The 19,499-nt window shown below is 47.6% G+C and overlaps 1 protein-coding gene, 1 long non-coding RNA gene and 1 other non-coding gene across 3 annotated transcripts in view, besides 5 other annotated features; all 3 read left to right on the top strand.

The window, feature by feature from the left end:
• The window catches only part of ANP32A (acidic nuclear phosphoprotein 32 family member A), a 42,361-nt gene that overhangs the window by 2,802 nt on the left and 20,060 nt on the right, over positions 1-19,499 (top strand). The gene's annotated exons all lie outside the window — the stretch shown is intronic.
• Positions 178-497: a silencer, noted in NCBI's record as "silent region_6589". NCBI's record gives its function as "represses an Ori minimal core promoter by ATAC-STARR-seq in GM12878 lymphoblastoid cells {active_cell/tissue: GM12878}" and the evidence as "EXISTENCE:reporter gene assay evidence [ECO:0000049][PMID:35858748]".
• Positions 178-829: a biological region, named in NCBI's record as "H3K27ac hESC enhancer GRCh37_chr15:69109604-69110186".
• Positions 247-829: an enhancer, noted in NCBI's record as "H3K27ac hESC enhancer chr15:69109604-69110186 (GRCh37/hg19 assembly coordinates)". NCBI's record gives its function as "activates a minimal SCP1, AML or CMV promoter by ChIP-STARR-seq in naive H9 embryonic stem cells {active_cell/tissue: H9 hESC(naive)}" and the evidence as "EXISTENCE:reporter gene assay evidence [ECO:0000049][PMID:30033119]".
• Positions 1,284-1,333: an enhancer, noted in NCBI's record as "active region_9651". NCBI's record gives its function as "activates an Ori minimal core promoter by ATAC-STARR-seq in GM12878 lymphoblastoid cells {active_cell/tissue: GM12878}" and the evidence as "EXISTENCE:reporter gene assay evidence [ECO:0000049][PMID:35858748]".
• Positions 5,977-6,477: an enhancer, noted in NCBI's record as "H3K4me1 hESC enhancer chr15:69103956-69104456 (GRCh37/hg19 assembly coordinates)". NCBI's record gives its function as "activates a minimal SCP1, AML or CMV promoter by ChIP-STARR-seq in primed H9 embryonic stem cells {active_cell/tissue: H9 hESC(primed)}" and the evidence as "EXISTENCE:reporter gene assay evidence [ECO:0000049][PMID:30033119]".
• ANP32A-IT1 (ANP32A intronic transcript 1) lies at positions 10,993-14,273 on the top strand. The gene has a single exon (NR_026808.1). It is a non-coding gene; the product is annotated as an ANP32A intronic transcript 1 (long non-coding RNA).
• On the top strand, positions 16,169-16,244 carry MIR4312 (microRNA 4312). The gene has a single exon (NR_036197.1). It is a non-coding gene; the product is annotated as a microRNA 4312 (primary transcript).

Genomic DNA, 19,499 nt, shown 5'->3' with positions numbered 1-19,499 from the left:
TAGGCTGGTTTTGAGTTCCAGGTGTTTTATTTATTTATTTTTATTTATTTATTTTTTTTAACGGCTAGGCCCACTCGGGGCTGAGCCCGAAGGGCGCCGAGGCGTTACTGGGGGGCAGGAGCCGCCTCCAGGGCCCTGCGCGCCTGTGGCACGACTGCCGGGCGCCGGGCTGCCATTTTGTCACCGTGGCTGTTGTCGCTGTGGGGGGCGGGGGGAGCGGAGTCTTGCGCCATCACCCCGACGGCCTCCCGCGCGGAGGAGGCAGGGGGAGCCGGCTTTGGGGACCCCCAGTTGTGCTATGAGCCCCGATGGGGGTTTCCGCCCCGCGCCAACGGCCTGAGGCTGTGCTGGAGAGTCACGGCGGCCGCGGCGCCGGGAGGACGACGATCCTCTGTGCAAATGCCCCCCCCCACGCGCTCCCTGCCTCCCCCGCCTCCTCTCCGGGGTTTCGCCGTTCCTCCTGCAGGCGCTCAGACGTAGTTAAATGTGGCCTTAAGGACTAACCGATCGCTCTGGTGTTTGCTCTTTCGGCGGAAGTGATAGAGTAAGGGGAACATTAAACATGAGGTTCTTTTGGCGGGGGTGAGGGGTGTCGCGCACGCGACTCTAGTGGCCCTGACTGAAGCCAAGGACAGCAGCCTGTTCCCCGGGAGGGAAGAGTTGTCGATCCGTTGGGGAAACGCCCTCCCGGGCTGGGCTCTCCGGGAAGGTAGGTCGAGCTCCGTGTTTCAGGTGGATGTTGCAGCGCCCTGCAGGCTAGGGGAACCCTCCTCCTCGGTCTAAACCTGCTCCTTCCCCCTTTTATTTTTGCCTGGGAGAAGGCAGCTACAATAGTAATGAGATCCTAAAGCGAAAGAGAGGGATGAAGGTTTGCTTTTGAAAAAAGTAAACCGCCTTTCTCCGGATGTTGACTTAGGAGCCAGGCAATTCGTCGCGTCGGGTCCTCCGATGCTGGCATCTCTGAGAATTTTAAAAAGCCGATATAGGTGCTGGTTAAGCACCTCACGAGCTGAACTCTGGTATCTGTGCAGAAACTAACTTTCATGGCAGTGTCCAGCAGAGGCTGCCTTGGAAGCCAGCTTTTACTTTGACCTTTGGAATACATCGCATGATGTTTTCCAGGCTGACTTACTGCCTAATTGGGTTCAAGTAGCATGATATTAACTACAGTTTATGCAAGCCAACCAGGAACTCGCAGGCAGAAAATTGAGCCTGAGTTCCCCTGTGGTCATAGTCAGTTGAGTTCTGCTGCTGATAGTAGTTTCGAGTCTGAGGGGCTCCATGATGAAGATGGGCTTAGGAATTACACAGACCTGGGTTTGAATTCCTCCTGCCACAAGGAGGTAGGATACGTTTACCTGCCCTTGTGACCTTGGGCTGGTGAGCTTAACCTACCTTTTTGAAGCTTTGTTTCTTCACCTGTAAAACGGAATAATCCTATTTAATCAGTAAATGATGACAAAATTGGTTTGATATGGCCCTCAGTATATGCTGTCTATATGACAGTTTTAGTCTCGGAGACATATCAGGGTGCTTCCAGGCATTACTTTGAGCTCCTCCATGGTTTAGGATAATAACAATATTAGCTAGTGCTTACATAGCAACCACGCTGTGTCTGGCACATTTCTTAAGTGGATTACATGTATCAACTAATTTAGTCCCCACAACAGCACTATGAGGTAGGTATTATTATTATCATCGTCATTGTGCATATGGAAATTGAGGCATACAGGGGTTATCATGTGACCAGTGAGTGGCAGAACCAGGATTCAAACTCAGCCAGTCTGCATACTCAACCTCTACACTCTACTGCCTCCTTTGAAACACCCTTTTTTTCTTAAGATACTGTAAGGAAGAGCTTTTTCTTCTCCAGCTTTGGAGTGGTGCCACCGTAGAAAGAGAATGAGTTTTCTATTATTGAAGACGCTGAAATGAAGAGTGGATAGCATCCTGGTTGGAGATATTAGAGGGCCAGGAGGTTCAGGACCAGGGGCTGTGGATTATCATTTTATGAAGCCTTGCACTGAGTTTGCTTTAGCACATCACAGTGGGTTAGGTTGAAGTGGATCTGGCCTTCAAGGTGCTGGGGGACACATTTTGAGTAAGGAGAAGACAAGCAGGAGCTGCTCAGGCAGTCTGCATCTGCAGCCAAAAAAACTCAACATAACTGGCATGTCTTTAGTATCTGGGACATAGTATGCTCATAGCACCTCATGGATCATCTCACTTAATCATCCCAGCAACTCTTTAAGGGTAGGCCAAGCAGTGCAATGCCACCCCTGTTGTGAGGATGAATCATCTGATTTTTGGAGAGGTTGAGCAACTGGTAGGTGGCACAGCCGGGTTCTCGCACTGCAAAACCACAGGCCCCTTTGGTGGACAGAGATTCCGAGGATTGGATAGTCCATTGGGTCCATGGCCCATTACCAGAATCACGTGAGAGGCATGTAAAATGCAGATTCCTGGGCTCCACCCCAATCACAGGAGTACCACAGCAATCACCAAACTATAACTGAGCTCCCAATTTTTGTACAGTCATGAGCTAAGAATTATTTGTACATATAAACGTTGCAGTCAATTTGATGGTATGGAACACTCTTTGAATCCCAATGACTTGAAATGTTATTCTCCCAAAAAATAAGAAATCCACTTGTCTCGTTAACAGATCTCGTTACAAAAAAAAAATTGTACTCAATATATTCTGAACTTTATCAATAAAAGAATTGTGGAAATGTGTTAGATTTTTCTCTTGTTATAAAAGTCCCTATGTAGTGTTCTTAATTTTGGCTCTTGATAAAGTTTACTATCTGCCCCCTTTGCAGAAGAGGTTTGCTGAAAAGGTGGTTCAGTAGATTGGAGGGTGGGCCCCAGGGATCTAGTGTTTTGCTTTGTTTAAGCAAATGGCAAGCCATATATTTGGGTGGTACTCTCAGGGTCTTTTTAAGTCCTTTTATGTGTTCTGTGCCCTGTAAGTAATTGGTGCCTAGTGGAAATCAGCCTCAACCCAGGAACCTCCATAGGAAGAGAAATTATCCTTGTTACTGGTTTAGTATGAAGCACTTCTCGTCTAGAGTTCTGTATAGCCAGCTGAAATTCTTCGTTGTGTACTCAGAACATGTCAAAGCCTTCTGTGTATCTTGTAGTTGAATGGTCACTCTTAGGTTCTAGATGTCATCTCAGAGATAGAAAGAGCTTTGGGTTGCAACGGTTAGAGCTTTGAGGCTTGAACCAAAGGCGGGGCAGCTGTGCACCCAGTGGCTCACATCAGCCTTTCAGAGCCCAGATCTTTGAAAATGACAGATAATCCTGGAATCTCTAGTTTTTGGCCTGCTGCTTTTCTACCATGCGTGTTTCCTGGGGAATGAACCAGCAGCATAGTGGCTTTGAGTTTCAGAAGTTTTTCCCTCTAGCGTCTTGTGCCTGAGCTAATGAACGGAAGGAATGGTTATAAAATTGGCCAGGTCAAGGGGAGGAGGAGATAAATTCAAGGGGACAAATCCTAGTCCCCATAACAGCAGCCTGTGTTATGACAGCACACCACAGCCCCAATTCCCTCTTTCCTGCTGCTGCTGCACCACCAGCCTCTCAAGGTGGCTTACTCTAGACTTACACAGTTGGCCATCTTTCTTTTTTTTTTTCTTTCCCCATAGCAGTATGAGACTTGTTTCCTTTTTTATTTATTTATTTTATAATTTTTGTAGAGACGGGGTTTTGCCGTGTTGCCCAGGCTGGTCTCAAACTCCTGGACTCAAGTGATCTGCCCACCTTGGCATCCCAAAGCGCTGGGATTACAGGTGTGAGCCAGCGTGCCTGGCCCCCTTCTTCAATACCATTGGAAAGACATCTGCTTGAGCTTTCAGAGCTGTCCATCCCAGAGCTTGGGTCCAAATTAATTACATCACATTGAAATAAAAAACTTCCTGGAGGCTGGGTGCAGTGGCTCACGCCTGTAATCCCAGCACTTTGGGAGGCCGAGGCGGGTGGATCACGAGGTCAGGAGATCAAGACCATCCTGGCTAACACGGTGAAACCCCGTCTCTAGTAAAAATACAAAAAATTAGCCGGGCATGGTGGCGGGTGCCTGTGGTCCCAGCTATTCGGGAGGCTGAGGCAGGAGAATGCCGTGAACCCGGGAGGCAGAACTTGCAGTGAGCAGAGATCGTGCCACTGCACTCCGGCCTGGGGGACAAAGCGAGACTCCGTCTCAAAAAAAAAAAAAAAAAAACTTCCTGGAAATTGTGTAGGATACTCTTTAGACATCTCATGCCTTTGCTATTTTGGTGCAGTCACTTAGGAAAGGAGCCGGGAGCTTGTTGGTGATTGGGCCCTGGCCCAATGAACGTGGCCCAATTGTCTGGCCTGAATTCTAACTTAGTTTAAGAGGAGGCTCATAGCTCTGGTGTCTAGAGAGGCATTCCTTTAGAAATGTTTGCCACCAGCATCCCTCCTCTTTGTTTTGGCAGTCCATCCCTTACTCTAGCTAGTTCTCTGGTCTCCTAGGAACTACCCTCTCCCAGTCCCCCAGCACCACTGCCTTCAAGTAGAGAAACATGGACCTGACTCTGAATCTTCTATAGCTTTGAAATAGAATTATACAACAAATGATAAATACCCAACAATGATGTTTTCATTAAAGAGATGGAGTCTGGCAGGGACAGAGATTTGTGAAGGCATCTGTTATTCAGAACTTCTCATTTAATAAAATTTGTTGAAACTAGATGAGCAAAGCACCATGGCCCTGAGCCACCTTCTCAGACATGGAAGCAGCCTCCTTGTCTAGAACTAGTTGTCCTGATGATATACAGACTCTAAGGAAGATAAAAGTCCCTTTATTCTACCACACCAAGCCCTGTCCTGGGCCTGCTGGGCCACACCCTGCAACCCAGTGCTTTCCCTCAGATTTATTTTGTTTTAGCTCCACAGCTGCCCCCTGAATTCATTCAGCTACTGTTTCCTTTACCAAAACTTGCTCCAGGCAGCAGATCTAAAAGATCAGCTTACTTACTACTCCACTGTTATTTACTCTAATGTGGATTAAAGTCAGCACTGTTTTTCCCAGAGGTATTTACATTTGGAGATTCTGGTTTGGTGAGGAAATTACCAGAGAACTATTAAAGACTTGGATGCTCTTCTCGGCTTTGCTATTAAGTAAGTTGGACAAGTTGTTTGGCTTCTTTGAGCCTCTGTTTTCTCCATTCTGAAATTCTAAAATGGGAGTGTTGAATTAGATCAGTGGCTTTCGAACTTTCTGCTCCTAGTAGTGAGAAATACATTTTACTCCACTCCCTGGTATGTACACGCATTCCTGTGTTTTGTGAAAAACCGACACCATGCTCCTCCCTCACTACATGTAAAACACTTTTATTCATTAAAAAGAAAACTGACTGGCTTGGACCTACAAATTAGTTTCATTATTTGTTAATGTTTGAAAGCCATTAAAAGATGAATATTAAGGTTTCTTTATACTCAATACTTGTAGTTTTGTTTGGGGGAATGAGAGGATGCCCTTGGTACCTTTGTGAGGCCTCTCCACTGAGGGTCAATCATGACTTCTGTTTTAAACCAGCCCATCCCATCTTCTCCAGCTGCTCTCCTTATGTCTTGCTTCTCTCCCCTCCAACCTTCTCAGCATAAGGACTCAATCCTAGGCTCCTACCCCAGACGGGTGCCTTCCAACGTTCCTGGTGCCAGTGGCCCCCCATCAGCCATGTTCCCCCAGCCCCTTCTCCACACTCTTGTCACCCAGGGCCCCATCCTTCAGTGCATTGCACACTTTGCATGCTGGGTCAGGGAAGATTGTGGAGAGAGGACAGTGCACCTGGTTTCCCCCACATAGACTGCGTGGGGGTATGTCCTGCTTCCGCCACTTCCAACTGTGGCACTTGGGCACGCCCCTCTCAGGGCACCTTCCCTTTTTGTCTCCGCAAAATGAGGTTGTAATAGTGCCTGCCGCACTGTCTGGCACACAGTAAGCTCTCAAGAAATGTTAGCTGTTGTTGCCGTTAGAACACCATAGCTAGAATACCATACCTGGCATTCACTTAAAAAAAAAAAAAACAACTTAGGGCCAGGCGCAGTGGCTCACGCCTGTACTTCCAGCACTTTGGGAGGCCAAGACAGGCAGAGCACCTGAGGCCAGGAGTTCAAGAACAGGCTGGCCTTGTCTCTACTAAAAATACAAAAAAAAAAATCAGCCGGGTGTCGTGGCAGGTGCCTGTAATTCCAGCTACTCTGGAGGCTGAGGCAGGAGAATCGCTTGAACCTGGGAGACGGAGGTTGCAGTGTGAGCCGATATCGTGCCACTGCATTCCAGCCTGGGCAACGAGCGAAACTCGGTCTCAAAAAAACCCAACTTACATTATCCGCAGACACATTACATACAAAAGTAACCATTTTCTTTCAATGGGAAAGGAGGTTTAGAAGCTAGAGATTCAAAGTTACCAGGAGTTACTTTTTCCCACTAGGAATTCACTACAGTCCTGACATTGGACTCTAGGTAGTTTCTACTGAGGGTAAGTGACTCGTCCCTCTTCTGGGCAACTCTTTTTCTTACTGCCCTCAGCAGCTATTTCAGGCCTCCACCCCTTCCCTCCCGGCCAGGACGTCCTCTTCACAGAAAATGGAAACCTCCTGGTTTCTTAAGTAGTTGTGAGGCTGAACCTGCCTTAATCCCTCCCAGTTCAGTGGTCTTCTTGTCTTGTCCATCCCTCCCTCAGTTCCCTTGTTCCTCCTGGGCACCTAGCCACTCCTGTCCTTTGGATTCTTCTCCAGCTGGGGATGCTTCTCCCATCTTAAAGCAAAGACTCTAATTGATCCCGTGTTGCGCTGTAGTTACTGCCCATCCCACTCTTCTCCCTACTCCCTAAACTTTCTGAATTGTCTATCTTCTCCATCCTGTCACCTCTCTTACTCCACCACGTGAAGTCTGGTTTGCTTCCTAAATAGTGCCAAGAATCCCAACAGCCTTCATTTCTTATCTTGCATGATGTCTCAGTGGCGGGATTCAGCATTCTTTTTTTTTTTTTTTTTTCCCAGACAGAGTCTCACTCTGTGGCCCATGTTGGAGTGCGCAGTGGCTTGATCTCAGCTCACTGCAACCTCGACCTCCTGGGTTCAAGCGATTCTCGTGCCTCAGCCTCCCGAGTAGCTGGGATTACAGGTGTCCACCACCACGCCCGGATAACTTTTTTATTTTTAGTAGAGAAGGGGTTTCACCATGTTGGCTAGGCTGATCTCGAACTCCTGACCTCAAGTGATCTGCCTGCCTCGGCCTCCCAAAGTGCTGGGATTACAGGCGTGAGCCACTGCGCCCGGCTGGGATTCAGCATTCTTGACTTTATGATAGATGCTCTCCCTTTCTCTGGTATATCTTCTACGGCTCTAGTCACTGCTCAGTTTCTGGTGTCCTGTTGCTCTCCTGTTTAGCCATGAAGTATTGACTTAGTCAAACTTGGGCGCTGGGCATTCTTATCCTGTATTCTCTCCAGTTGGAAATTTGTCCTTCCTCACTGACAGCTGCAGGTACTGCGTGCTGCTCTCTGAGGTTTGAAGTTTACTGCTTGAGTAAGCTTGAGACCCACCTGATGTCTCCACCTGGGTGCTCCAAAAGTGCCCTACTCTTAAGTCCAAAGGGAACCCATGTCCTCTGTCCCTTGCCCACCACTGCCCACACACACACACTCATGATCCTCTTTCCATCCATCATCATCACAAGTCTTGTCTGTTTAAAACATGCTCTGTTGCTTGCCACTGATCTCCCTGTATCATAGTCTAGTCTTCTTGAAGCCATGCTGTGACCTTCAACTAGAATGATCTTATCAAAACACACATGTAATGTCACCCCATACTTAAAATTCACCATTGTTCCTAGGATAAAGTCCCAAATCTTTAATAAGACCAACAAGGTGCTGCATGGTCTGGCCACTTCCCGTCATCTGTTCCCTTGCCCCACTCTCTCTGGGCCTCCCTGGCTGCCTCTCATTCCTGCAAACCTGTGCCACACTGAGATTGCCACTGTATCCAGTTAGCATCTAGTCATCTTTACCATCTCCAGCCTCCTCCGTCAGGTTTAGATCTAGTTCTTTTGCCAGAAAACTCTTACAGAACTTTTCCCTCAGAGTGCTTCAGTTTGTAACTACATATTCCAGATTATGAGTGTTTAATTAGCATCTCTGTCCCCTTGCCTAATGGGTGCACTGCACGATTTGAGGGACTTGCTTTTGCTCATCATTGTGGTCTTCAGAGCTCCACACTGTGCCTGGCACATGGTAAGCATTCTAGAAGTACTGATGGAGTGAAGGATCTGTGGTACTTATACCTTCTTGTCACTTTCATCACCTACCGGTTGGTACATCAAGCACGAAGCCACTGAAACGAAGCGCACACCTTCACACCCGCACCCCCACGCCCGCTGGTGTGACTTTCTGATGGAGTTGCTCTGGGTGGGTGATGCACACTTCTTAGGTCGCTGGTCATCATGTTTTTCTCATTATCACATCCCTTATCAGTAAACAATTTGAACCTGAGCCCCAGTATGTCTACCTTGCAGTTATGGATTATTCACATACACTACCTATAAATATGGACATTATAAAATGTAACGCCAAAAATATAAATTAAAAAGGATACATTTAAACATCTAAAAAGTCCTGAAATTCTTGCATCCCAGTGGATTGGCTTGGGCAGTCCACATAAGAGACTACTGTTCTAATTAATTGCTCGTTTTATTTTAAATTCAGTTACTAAAGTTCACTCTGTAAAAGAAACGCTCATACCTTCCTAGACACTGCTTGTTAAGATCTCTCCAGCTCTAGTGTGTGATGAGTAGGGGTAGGGGACATTCACAGTCTCCCTTTAATACAATAAGCTAGCTTGCCCGAGATCCTTGGTGAATCAAGGCTCCACTGCCGTGTGTCAGCTTGGTGCTCTTTGTTTAGGCTGTGTGGACAGATCCACCAAAGTCCCCTCCAGTCACCCCTGGGGTCCCACAGAGGTAAACCCCCGGGTTCTCTCTGCCCATGTCCTGAGAGGCCAGGAAGTAGCTACGATAAGGATTCCATCAGCCATAGACTCAGGGTGGGTGGGAAGGTGGCTTTCTCCTAGTTATCTTGGAGTGGGGAACAAGTAAGAGGCAGGATGTGTGGGCTGGAAGGGCAGAGACAGAGGTGCACAGTGAAGCTTGAAAGAGAGAGGCCCGCAGAGTGTGTTTGCTGAGAGATTTCAGCAAAGTTGTGCTGGAACTCTGCAGCCAGCAGTGCCCAGTGCTGGGTTTCTGGATTCTGCTGCCTCCTGTAGAATTCGTGAGAACTACGTGTGTATGCATGTGCGTGTGCAGGGGGTGATAGGGTGGAGGCAAGGGCCTGTCATTCTCAATTTAGAGGAATTACTTTCAGATTTCTTCAGGGACCATGCATCTGGAGGAGGGACTCATCTTCAATTTATGTAACCAACTGTCACCTTAGCCATTGGCTTCATGGGCAGGCCTAAGTGGTGTAACTGAATGGACGGGTGAGGGGAGTCCACTGATATGGCCTGTGTGCCCAGCATCGGGAATGAGACAAGGAGTTGTATAAATGCTATGTAAGTATTTTTGTAGCAAATTTAATTTCTTGAATCCAGTCCTTGCATCCTGGGCTGGGTAGGAGAGAAGAGAGTGGTTATAGTGGATGGTGGTGCCTGGCTCCTGTGGTGGAGCTGGAGTGATGGAGCATAGCACATACACTGCAGGGAAGAAGGTGTGTGGTTAGTAAAGCCGATTTCAACCCCAGCTGTGGATCAGAACTGCCAGGGGAGCATCTGAAGCAATACCCAGGCTCTGCCTGAACTGAATCAGTCTCTGAGGGTGGTGCCCCAGTCCGTGTATTTTTAGAAAGCTCTAAAGGGGACTCTAAAGCACAGTTGGGAACCACCCCATGGAGCAGGGTGCAGAGCTTCACAGCAGGTAGGAAGAAGTAACTAAGTGGAAACTAGAGGAAAATGGAGCAGAGAAACCAGGAAATAGGAAAGAAGGATGCAGGATTTAATCTGCTGGGGTTCAGGGATCCGCTCCTTGACCTGCCCCCCACATCCCCACCACCATGGGATTGTTCACACAACCACGTTCTGCTCATCACACTTGGAATTTTTCATTTACGTGTATCTCAGGATGCTGCTCCTGGGAGTGTCAAGTGGGCATTACCGATCAAGACTGGACTTGGCCCATCCTTCATGTCCAGCTCTTGAGAGGCCGTGGACCTTTTGTAAAAGGGCGGGGGCCCAGGCGCAGACCCAGGCAGTCAGGTACAGTGGGCAGTAGTGCTTGAGAACTGCTGAGCCTGAGGATGTTGGCAGGTCACCTCACTGAGCCTCAGTTGCCACATCTGTGAAACGGTGAATAACCTGCTTCCCAGAGCTTGTTGTTAGCACGGAAAGAAATATCGTTTATGCCAGGTATGGGTTGTAGACGGACCCTGAAGGTTAGATTCTACCCGTCAGGGCTTGAATGAGCTGTTTGGTCAGCGGTGGGGGTGGGGTGGAGTCAGCCCCTCTCCAGAAGGTGCTTGCTGGGGTGGGAGCAAGTCTGAGAAGAGCTGTCTCGGCCTGCCCCAGGAGGAGGCCTCGCCTGGAGCTGTGAAGCGGAGGGGAGGGGCAGGGAGGCTCTGGGCAAAGGAGAGACTCCCCCCCCCCCGTTTTCTGTGGAGGTGGGGCGGGAGGAATACCAGCCAAGCTGCAGGCATCCCCTTGCCCCGGGCCTCTTCTGGGGTGGGGGCTGTCGCGCTGGCTCACCTTTCCCATAGCAGTTGCTCCGTGACCCTAGCCTTCTTGCCTTTAAACTCCCCTCTGGCTGCAGAAGTCTGGGCCAGCCTCTCCCAGTCCTTTATCTTTCATTCATACAGCTCCTGAGAGGTCCCCTTTTCTGGGAAGCCCTCCTCAACTCACTGGAAGAAAGGGAGCAAACTGTGTCCACCTAGGTGACATAAAGGTAAAAGTCCTGGGGACTTCCAGGGCACGCAGCAGCGTTCGCCTCTCAGCCAAGTCCAATAGCACTCACTTAGGTGTGCATCTGTGGCTTTCTCTCTGTCTGGTCAGTGCTCCTTTATATGTCCATACCCCCTGCCAGAGGGCAGCATTGACGGTGTACAGAGCCCAGTGTGACTCTCCTGCAGCTGGGGACATAGAAGAGCTCTGTGACGATGGCAGATGTGGTTCTCCAGCCTCTTGCCTGGCTGCCAGTGGGAGTAGCCTGTCTGTTCTGGCACAGGGGGCTGTTCCATATGGAGGGTCAGAAACTGGCCTTCACAGCCACCCAGGCGTTCCTTCCACTTCTGCACGTCTTCCTTTCCCCATGAAGATTTGGGTGTACCCTGGTTGTGGTCTCTGAAGACTGGGCAGGCCTGTACTTTGTGAAGCTTTCAGCTGTCTCTGGTAGGCCTGATGAAGCCTATCTGCAGAGGTTGGCCTGAAGCCATAATGAGCAGTTCTGTTCTTTTTAGCCCTTGTCTAGTTTATGGCTCTGTTGCAGACATGCCTTTCTGTGTCTTGGTTAAAAGTACTGGTGTGTCTTTGCATTTAGGTGTGGTCTGTGAGTCTGGGAAGGCTTCTAGAGGAGAGCCCTCCAGGGTTGCTCTTTGGGGTGGGAGTAGTGGGAGCGGAAATGGAACGCTGACTGCCCTCTTAAAGCCAGAAGGGTACTTCATTCAGGGCAGGCAGTTGGCATGTGTAGGCACTCAGGAGTCTTCCTTCAGTTTCAGCGGCCGGTGTTCATCATCAGGAGTGGCAGGGTTGGATATGGGAGTGAGAATGTGCCTCTGAGATTGACCAGTGGCCATAGACTCCAGCAAGATGTGCATCTTGGTCTGAGAGGCACCCACTGTACCAGAAACCAGACTTGTATCGACCAATGGCTTATTAGCCCCAGGAGGCTTATTACTGCCACAAATGTCCCTGATGGTGAGCAGCACTTGGCCACTACTGTCTGATGTTAACCAGAGTTATGGGGGTGGTTTCTGCAAATACACAATACTGTGGAGGGGTTATGTGGCTTACCCAGAGGTGCCCAGATAGCAAATGAAGGTGTAAGATTGGAATCCCTGTCTTTCTGGTTGACCCTTGGCTTGGCTAATCATTCATTCATTCATTCCACACACATTGATGAATGCCGACTCTGTACTGGGTTCTGTTCTAGGAACTAGACAGACACATCACCTATGCTGCTCTTGTGGGGCTTCTGTTCCGCTGGGGGAGACAGTCAGTAGTAAGCCTTCAAGCAAAGGCATGGCTGCTGGTGTGATGAGTGCCATGAAGACCCATAAGGCTGCGTTAAAGGAGATGGGTGGTCCAGGAAGGCCTCTCTGAGGAGGTGGCATTTGAGCACTCAAGTGCCTTACACTGGACTTCTGACCCCATGAGCTGGAACTTAGGATATCTGATCTAGAAGTACCTCTAGAAGTCCTCTTCCCAATAAACAAGCTAAGGCCCAGTGAGCTTAAGGTGTGAATTCATGGGATGATTCATGGGAAAGATGAAATTAAACCCAAGAAGGACAAGTATAATAGCCGGCCACTGCTCTGCTCACACCAGCCTTGGGCTCCAGCCCTCTGCCTTTTCATCCCAGAATGTGTTTTATTATCTTCAAGACTCAGCCCTTTGAAAGATTTAGACTTCCAAATTGCATTTATTAACAATAATACATTTATTTTCTCATGGCTGGGTGTGGGGAGGGGGTAGAAATTTTAAACACATTTGTGACGGTTGATCAGCCCTCCAGGTAAGGCAACGGCTGACTGCCTGGAGCTGGTGTTTTTCCTGCCTAGGCGGAGACACCGCCCAATTTTGTACCACCAGCTGCCGTCACTGTCAGAGTGGAATTTCCATTGGTGTTTCTGAAATAGCAGTGTTTCCTGGAGGACCCCCATTTGTACTTTCTGGATTCCATCTGGACCTGGTTTAGGGGGTTAGATGCTTTTGAATGGGGGCTGGAGAGACCCTACTGATGCCTCTGACCAGAGATGGTGAGGCAGGACTCACAGGGCCCCCAGGGTTTATTTTAGGGAGAGAGAAGCCCACAGTTAAATCAGAGGTCACAAATACAGCAGCAGACCCCACCTCTCCCAAGGACCAGACTGAGCTATAATTGGCCAATAATTTCATCTAAAAGCAGGAATCCTACATCAATTTGAAAGGAGCTTCTGGCTGAAGTAAGACTTTATTAATTAGCCTGTTAGGAAAATAGTTTCCCAGTATTATGAGGGCTGGATAATTTCATGCCCACTGTTTTTCTTGAAGCTTCTCAAAGGCAGACACAGCCGCGTGCAGCGGCTCACGCCTACAATCTCAGCACGTTGGGAGGTCGAGGCAGGTGGATCACGAGGCCAGGAGATCGAGACCATCCTGGCCAACATGGTGAAACCCCATCTCTACAAAAATACAAAAATTAATTGGGCGTGGTGGTGGGCGCCTGTAATCCCAGCTACTCAGGAGGCTGAGGCAGGAGAATCAGAGGTTGCAGTGAACCGAGATTGTGCCACTACACTCCAGCCTGGCCACAGAGCGAGACTCAGAAAACAAGGGAAGACACTAGATTTTCATTTTTGTACTAAATAGAAAAAGTAATATCTTTTTAAAAATGTGTTTTGTTTGTTTTTAACTGTTTGTTCATGCCAATGTGCCAGGCACCATATTTATTCTTTAATCTATACAGAAATGCTGCTGGATGAATGGAATTATGCTCACTCTGCCAATGAGGGAACCAAGGCTCAGAAAGGTTAAGTAACCAACCTAAGGTCAGGTAGTACTGAGGAGCTGTGCTTGGATACAAAACCAGGTCATCCAACCTGGAATCTTAGCTTTGACCCCCAACCTTCTCCCGGCAACTTTGATGATAATATGGAAATACCTTAGACTCTTGACTTGACTTTACTTTCTCTTCTCTGTTATAAAATCTGCTACATTTCTTTTCCTGGGAAAGCGAAATAGATTATGCCAAAAGTTCTGATTTTTAAAAATGTTTTATTGTGGGCCGGGCGCAGTGGCTCATGCCTGTAATCCCAGGACTTTGGGAGGCCGAGGTGGGTGGATCATGAAGTCAGGAGATCAAGACCATCCTGGCCAACACAGTGAAACCCCATGTCTACTAAAAATACAAAAATTAACTGGGCTTGGTGGTGCACGCCTGTAATCCCAGCTACTCAGGAGGCTGAGGCAGGAGAATCCCTTGAACCTGGGAGGCGGAGGTTGTAGTGAGCCGAGATTGTGCCACTGCACTCCAGCCTGGCAACAGAGCAAGACTCCGTCTCAAAAAAAAAAAAAAAAAAAAAAGTTTGTGAAATAGAGCACATAAAACCAAACAATATGTGTGAGATTTAATGATTTTTGTCCTATTTTTTTTCTATTTATTATTTAATACTTTCAGGGGTATCCTAGTAAAAGCGACTTTCCATGTGCCTGCCTGTGCCTTTCTGTGCCAGGGTCTTAAGAAATGTGTGTGGGTTTCCTCTGTGGCTCTGACACTCCATCAAACACCAGGGCTTGTGCACGCAGGTGAGAAGCATACCCAGGTGCCTCAGAGATATTGAAGAGGGTCTGGAATGTGGGAGAGAGGCAAATGGCTTTCCAATAAAAGTAGGCTAAGACATAATTAGGGGCTTAGGTGCTGCTTTAAAAAATAAGTAGCAGTGTATTCCAGACTCCTCTAAGAAAAGAGAATTGCTCATTGTGGAACAGGCATGGCAATGCAGTGCCTTTGCCTGGAACACCTTGCTGCTGCCATCACTAAGACCCATTCTGGGACAAGAGGAGGCTTACCCCTTATTGAGTATCTGCCATGAGCTTTGTGTGGTCCTTGCTTGCTAGGTACTTGGCAAGCATTATCTTTTTTACCTTTTAAAACACCCCTGAGGTGTAGGTAAGGCCACCCATTTCCTGACAGAGATTGGCCTACAAAGGTCAGATGGCTTCCGGGGCACACTGAGCGGCCCTTGTGTGTCGGAATGTTCCCTTCTGTTTGTCCCTTCCAGGCTGGACACTTTGGGAGCAGAAGTCAAAGACACCTTTATCATTGTACCCTCAGCACCTGGTGTAGTGCCTGGGATTTAGTAGTTCTGAGGAGCGTGTATTGAATGAATGGAGGTTAAGTAACTTAGACATTAGATAGTAGGACTCTGGGCTGGGCACAATGGCTCACGTCTGTAATCCCAGCACTTTGGGAGGCCAAGGTGGGTGGATCACCTGAGGTCAGGAGTTCGAGACCAGCCTGACCAACATGGTGAAACCCCGTCTCTACCAAAAATATAAAAAATTAGCCGGGCATGATGGCACATACCTGTAATCCCAGCTACTTGGGAGGCTGAGGCAGGAGAATCACTTGAACCTGGGAGGTGGAAGTTGCGCTGAGCCGAGATGGCGTCACTGCCCGCCAGCCTGGGCGAGAAGAACAAAATTCCGTCTCAAATAAATAAATAAGATAATAGGACTCTGAGGCTGTATGACTGCCACCCTGTAGGTCAGAAATGGGATCTGATTCCAGCTCTTATCCGTAAGCTAGGTGAATGCAAACTGACATGCCCAAGCTTATTGATATTGCAAAATTATTTATTACACAAAAGATTGGAAGCAACCCAGATACTCATCAATAAGAGACTGGTTAAGAAAAATGATGACACACTATGTAGTTGCAAAGAAGAAACGAAGAGGGTTTTTATGTACTCTTACACAAACTCCATGAAAAAAAGGCAAGGCAATGATTAGTATAATATGCTAGGTTTTTAATAAAAGAGAGAAGAAATAAGATTCTGAATTTGCTTGTATGTGTGTGAACATTCTAGAGAGATGCTTAGCAGGTGGTATAGTTGACTGGGCAGACAGAGGATAAGATAGGAGGGAGAGTTAACTGTATATCTTATATATTTTGGTTTTAAAACCATGAGAATGAATGTGTTAGTCAAAAAATTGAAAAGGAGAAAAAAAAAGAGGTGACCTTGAACCAGCGAGTCCACTGACCTGTGTGTTAGCCTCCCTATCCGTATGGTGAGGCAGTTGGACCAGATTGAGACTCCTTAGTCTGAAGTGGAATGTTGTGAATATTGTATTTCTCAGGCTTTCATGGACTTTTCCAGGAGATCCTGACCTTGTGCTAGGGTAATCTGCAGTCCCTTCCGTTGGTAGCCTGGCCTGGCCCTCTCAGGATGTTTGAGAAAGGTTGGGGGCACAGAGAGCAAGGAGCCTTCCCCAGAGGAGTCAGGCCTTGTTCCTGTCCCCATTCCTCAGAGTTTATCCTCTGAGCACACACCTCTGGTGTGACTCAGTTGGTTCTTCCTCCAAAGTGAAGGATTACAGTGAAGAGAGACTGTTCTGGAGCATTCTGGCAAAGTGCTACAGTTTAATAGGAAGGAAAAAAATGGCAGAACATTTTCCGGGTTATTTTTAATGCTTTTCAGTTCTGCAAACATTTATTGAAAGCTAAGTGCAAGGCAGTGTGGGGGAATCAGTTGCATAATACCTCACCTCTGCTTTCTGGGGTGCAAAGTCTTGGGTAAGAAACATGCTTATAAAATTTATCATAGTAACCTCTAGGACAGCCTGGCTTACCCATGATCTCATTGGGTCCCATGGAGACAGGTGGGATTGGTAGGGACTCGTCCCATTTTACAGGTGAAGAAACTGAATCTCAGTGAAGTCTTGTCCAAAGCCACACAGTTTGTAAGCAGTAAAGCCTGAAACCAAACCAGATCTTCCGACTACTTCTCATGTGTCCAAACCCCCATAATCAAAACATTCTCCCATAGGAGATGTCCGGGGTGTAGATTAGGCCCATTTCTACCTGGAAACATGGGGCAAGCACAATCCTGATTAAAGCTTCTTCTCCTTCACTTTTTTCCTTTGCTTTTTTTTTTTTTTTTCTTCTTCTTCTTCCTTTAAGGCAGAGCAAGGTAACTCTTAGGCTTATGGCCAGATCTCAGGTCTTAACTACTTTCCTGTGGTCTAAGCAATTCTTCTTGCATTGCCTGTGAAACCCACTATCCTACCACCAGTTGCATGTGGAATGTCCCCTGTGGGTAAAGGTGTGTAACCTACAGCAGCCTTCTCTCCACCCCAATCTCATGCTGCCACCTCCTTTCTTCCCTTCCACAAATTCTCTCGTACCCACCTGGCTTCCTAGCTGTTCCCCAATAAGGCCAAGCATGCCACCCACTCAGGATCTTTGCCCTGGCTTTTCCTTCTTTCTGTCTGGAAGGCCCTCCTAGTTGTTGACTTGGCCTTACGTCTCTGCTGAAAGCTCACTTTGGATAGGCCTTCCTGGTTACCCTCTCTAAAGTAGTGTCCCTTGTCACTATTGCTTTTCTGTCCTTTTCTTTTCTTTCTTTTTTTTTTTTTTGAGACGGAGTCTCGCTGTGTCGCCCAGGCTGGAGCGCAGTGGCGGGATCTCGGCTCACTGCAAGCTCCGCCTCCCTGGTTCACGCCATTCTCCTGCCTCAGCCTCCGGAGTAGCTGGGACTACAGGTGCCCGCCACCACACCTGGCTAATTTTTTGTATTTTTAGTAGAGTCGGGGTTTCACCGTGTTAGCCAGAATGGTCTTGATCTCCTGACCTCATGATCCGCCAGCCTCGGCCTCCCAAAGTGCTGGGATTACAGGCGTGAGCCACCGCGCCCGGTGCCTTTCTGTCCTTTTTTTTTTTTCTTTGCAGCATTCATACACATTATATACATGTGTATACATTTATTGGTTTATTCTTTGGCTCCCCTGCTAGAATGTAGATCTGTGAGACAGGCACCTAGTTTTGTTTACCACGGTATCTTTAACACCTAGCATAGTACCTGGCATGGCATGTAGTAAATACTCTGTACGGACTGTTGAATGATTGTATCGGGCCTGCATCCTAAAGCAAGTAATGCTTAAGAAGAAAGAATCAAATCATAGCATTTTAAGAGGGGAAAAGACTCAGAGCTCTCTTTGCAGGGCTTTATCATACAATATTATTAATTCATCTAATAAGCATCCAGCACTCTTTATGTATGAAGCTCTTTGCCCACGGTCACTTAACAGCCTTGTGATTCATACAGGGACAGGAAGCTCCCAAGTTTTCAGAGCAGCCCATTATTTTGTGAGACAGCCATAATGATCTAGAGACCTTCTTACAAAGTACACTGGGGAGAAAGCTGTCTCTTTATGATTCCTGCACTCTGATCTTAGTTCTTGAACCACTGGAAAACACAATAAACGTACATGACATTCCTTCAAATAAGTGGAGAGAGATAGTGATCATGGTCTCCCCTACCCTCAAGCCTAAACATCACTAGTTCCTTCAATTGTTCTTCTAGTATCCCAGTTTTCAGATGCCTTCCTACCCTGGTTGCCTTCCTCAAATTTGTTCTTTAAATTTTGGAATTTCAGGTCTAGTCCTGTCAGTGCAGAGTGTTTTGGGACCCTGACCAAGGAGCCCTGGTCCATCCCACGTGTTCCTATCAGCACAGCCTTCGATGGCTCATCTGTGTTGGCTGCCATGGTAGAAGCCTCCTTCATGAGCCTCTGATGAAGACTAAAATCATTAAGTTCCTTTTTACATTGTCTCGAGTCATGTGGACCCTCCCTGACTCTCTTCATAGTTTTTTGGTTTGGGGTTTGTTTTTGTTTTTTAGCATTTTGAGATTAAAGCAGCCATAGACTTGTGAACAACAATGAACTCAACCTGCACTCTTTTTAAAAAACAACAAGTGTAGGTAAGGTTCTACCACCAAACCCAGATGAAGAGGATGGAACTCTGGAAGTTCAGCAATACCTGCCAAGCCTCCAACTCCTTTCTTCCCTCATCGTGTCTTTCTCTGTCTGTGTCTGTCTCTCCCTCTCCCCTTCCTTCCAGCAGCCCCTCAGTTCCCCATAGTTTCCTTGCTTTCCCTCATTCCATTTCTTTTATTAATCCTCCTTCCAATTAGAAATATGGAGTTAACATATACTGCTAGCATTTCTTGCACTTCCTTCACTAATAATTTTTGCCATACATGTGTAATTCACAGATTTAAGGAAGCTGCACATTTCACACTTGTCTAAGGGAGAAATAACTAATGTTAAATTGCTTCTTATGTGTAGCCCCTGGCTAATTTGTTTTGTGGCCTTGGATAGAAAAAACTTTCAGCCCCAGCCTTAGGTTCTTCTGCATGATTGGTTCCCATTTCTGCCCAAATCAGCGATTTCCCATTGGTGGTTGGACAACAGGGCTTCAGTGCCGAGGCGGCGTTTGCTCTGCTTCTGTCATTGCTGATGCTGCTGTCATTTTGCATAGAGGTGGCAGGGAAGGAGGCCAAGGTCGAGGTTTCTTCTGTGAGGCCATTTAGCTTTCCCTGCCTCTTCTCCACTTGCAGCTCTGCATGGATGTGTGGAAGGTGGTGGTGGGGAGAGCAGGGGCTGAGCTCAGGTCTGGGCTCTTCCTAACAGCTAATTTTATTTTCCACCTTTCTTTCCTCTTGCTTCAAGGAGGATGGAGAGTCCTGTGACTTTGAGGGTGTGGGCCCTAAGTTTGGAGTCTT

This window comes from Homo sapiens, chromosome 15 (genome assembly GCF_000001405.40).
Source record: "Homo sapiens chromosome 15, GRCh38.p14 Primary Assembly".
NCBI lineage: Eukaryota > Metazoa > Chordata > Mammalia > Primates > Hominidae > Homo > Homo sapiens.
The sequence above is the reverse complement of the archived record's forward strand: the minus strand, read 5'-3'. Positions and strand labels throughout refer to the sequence as shown.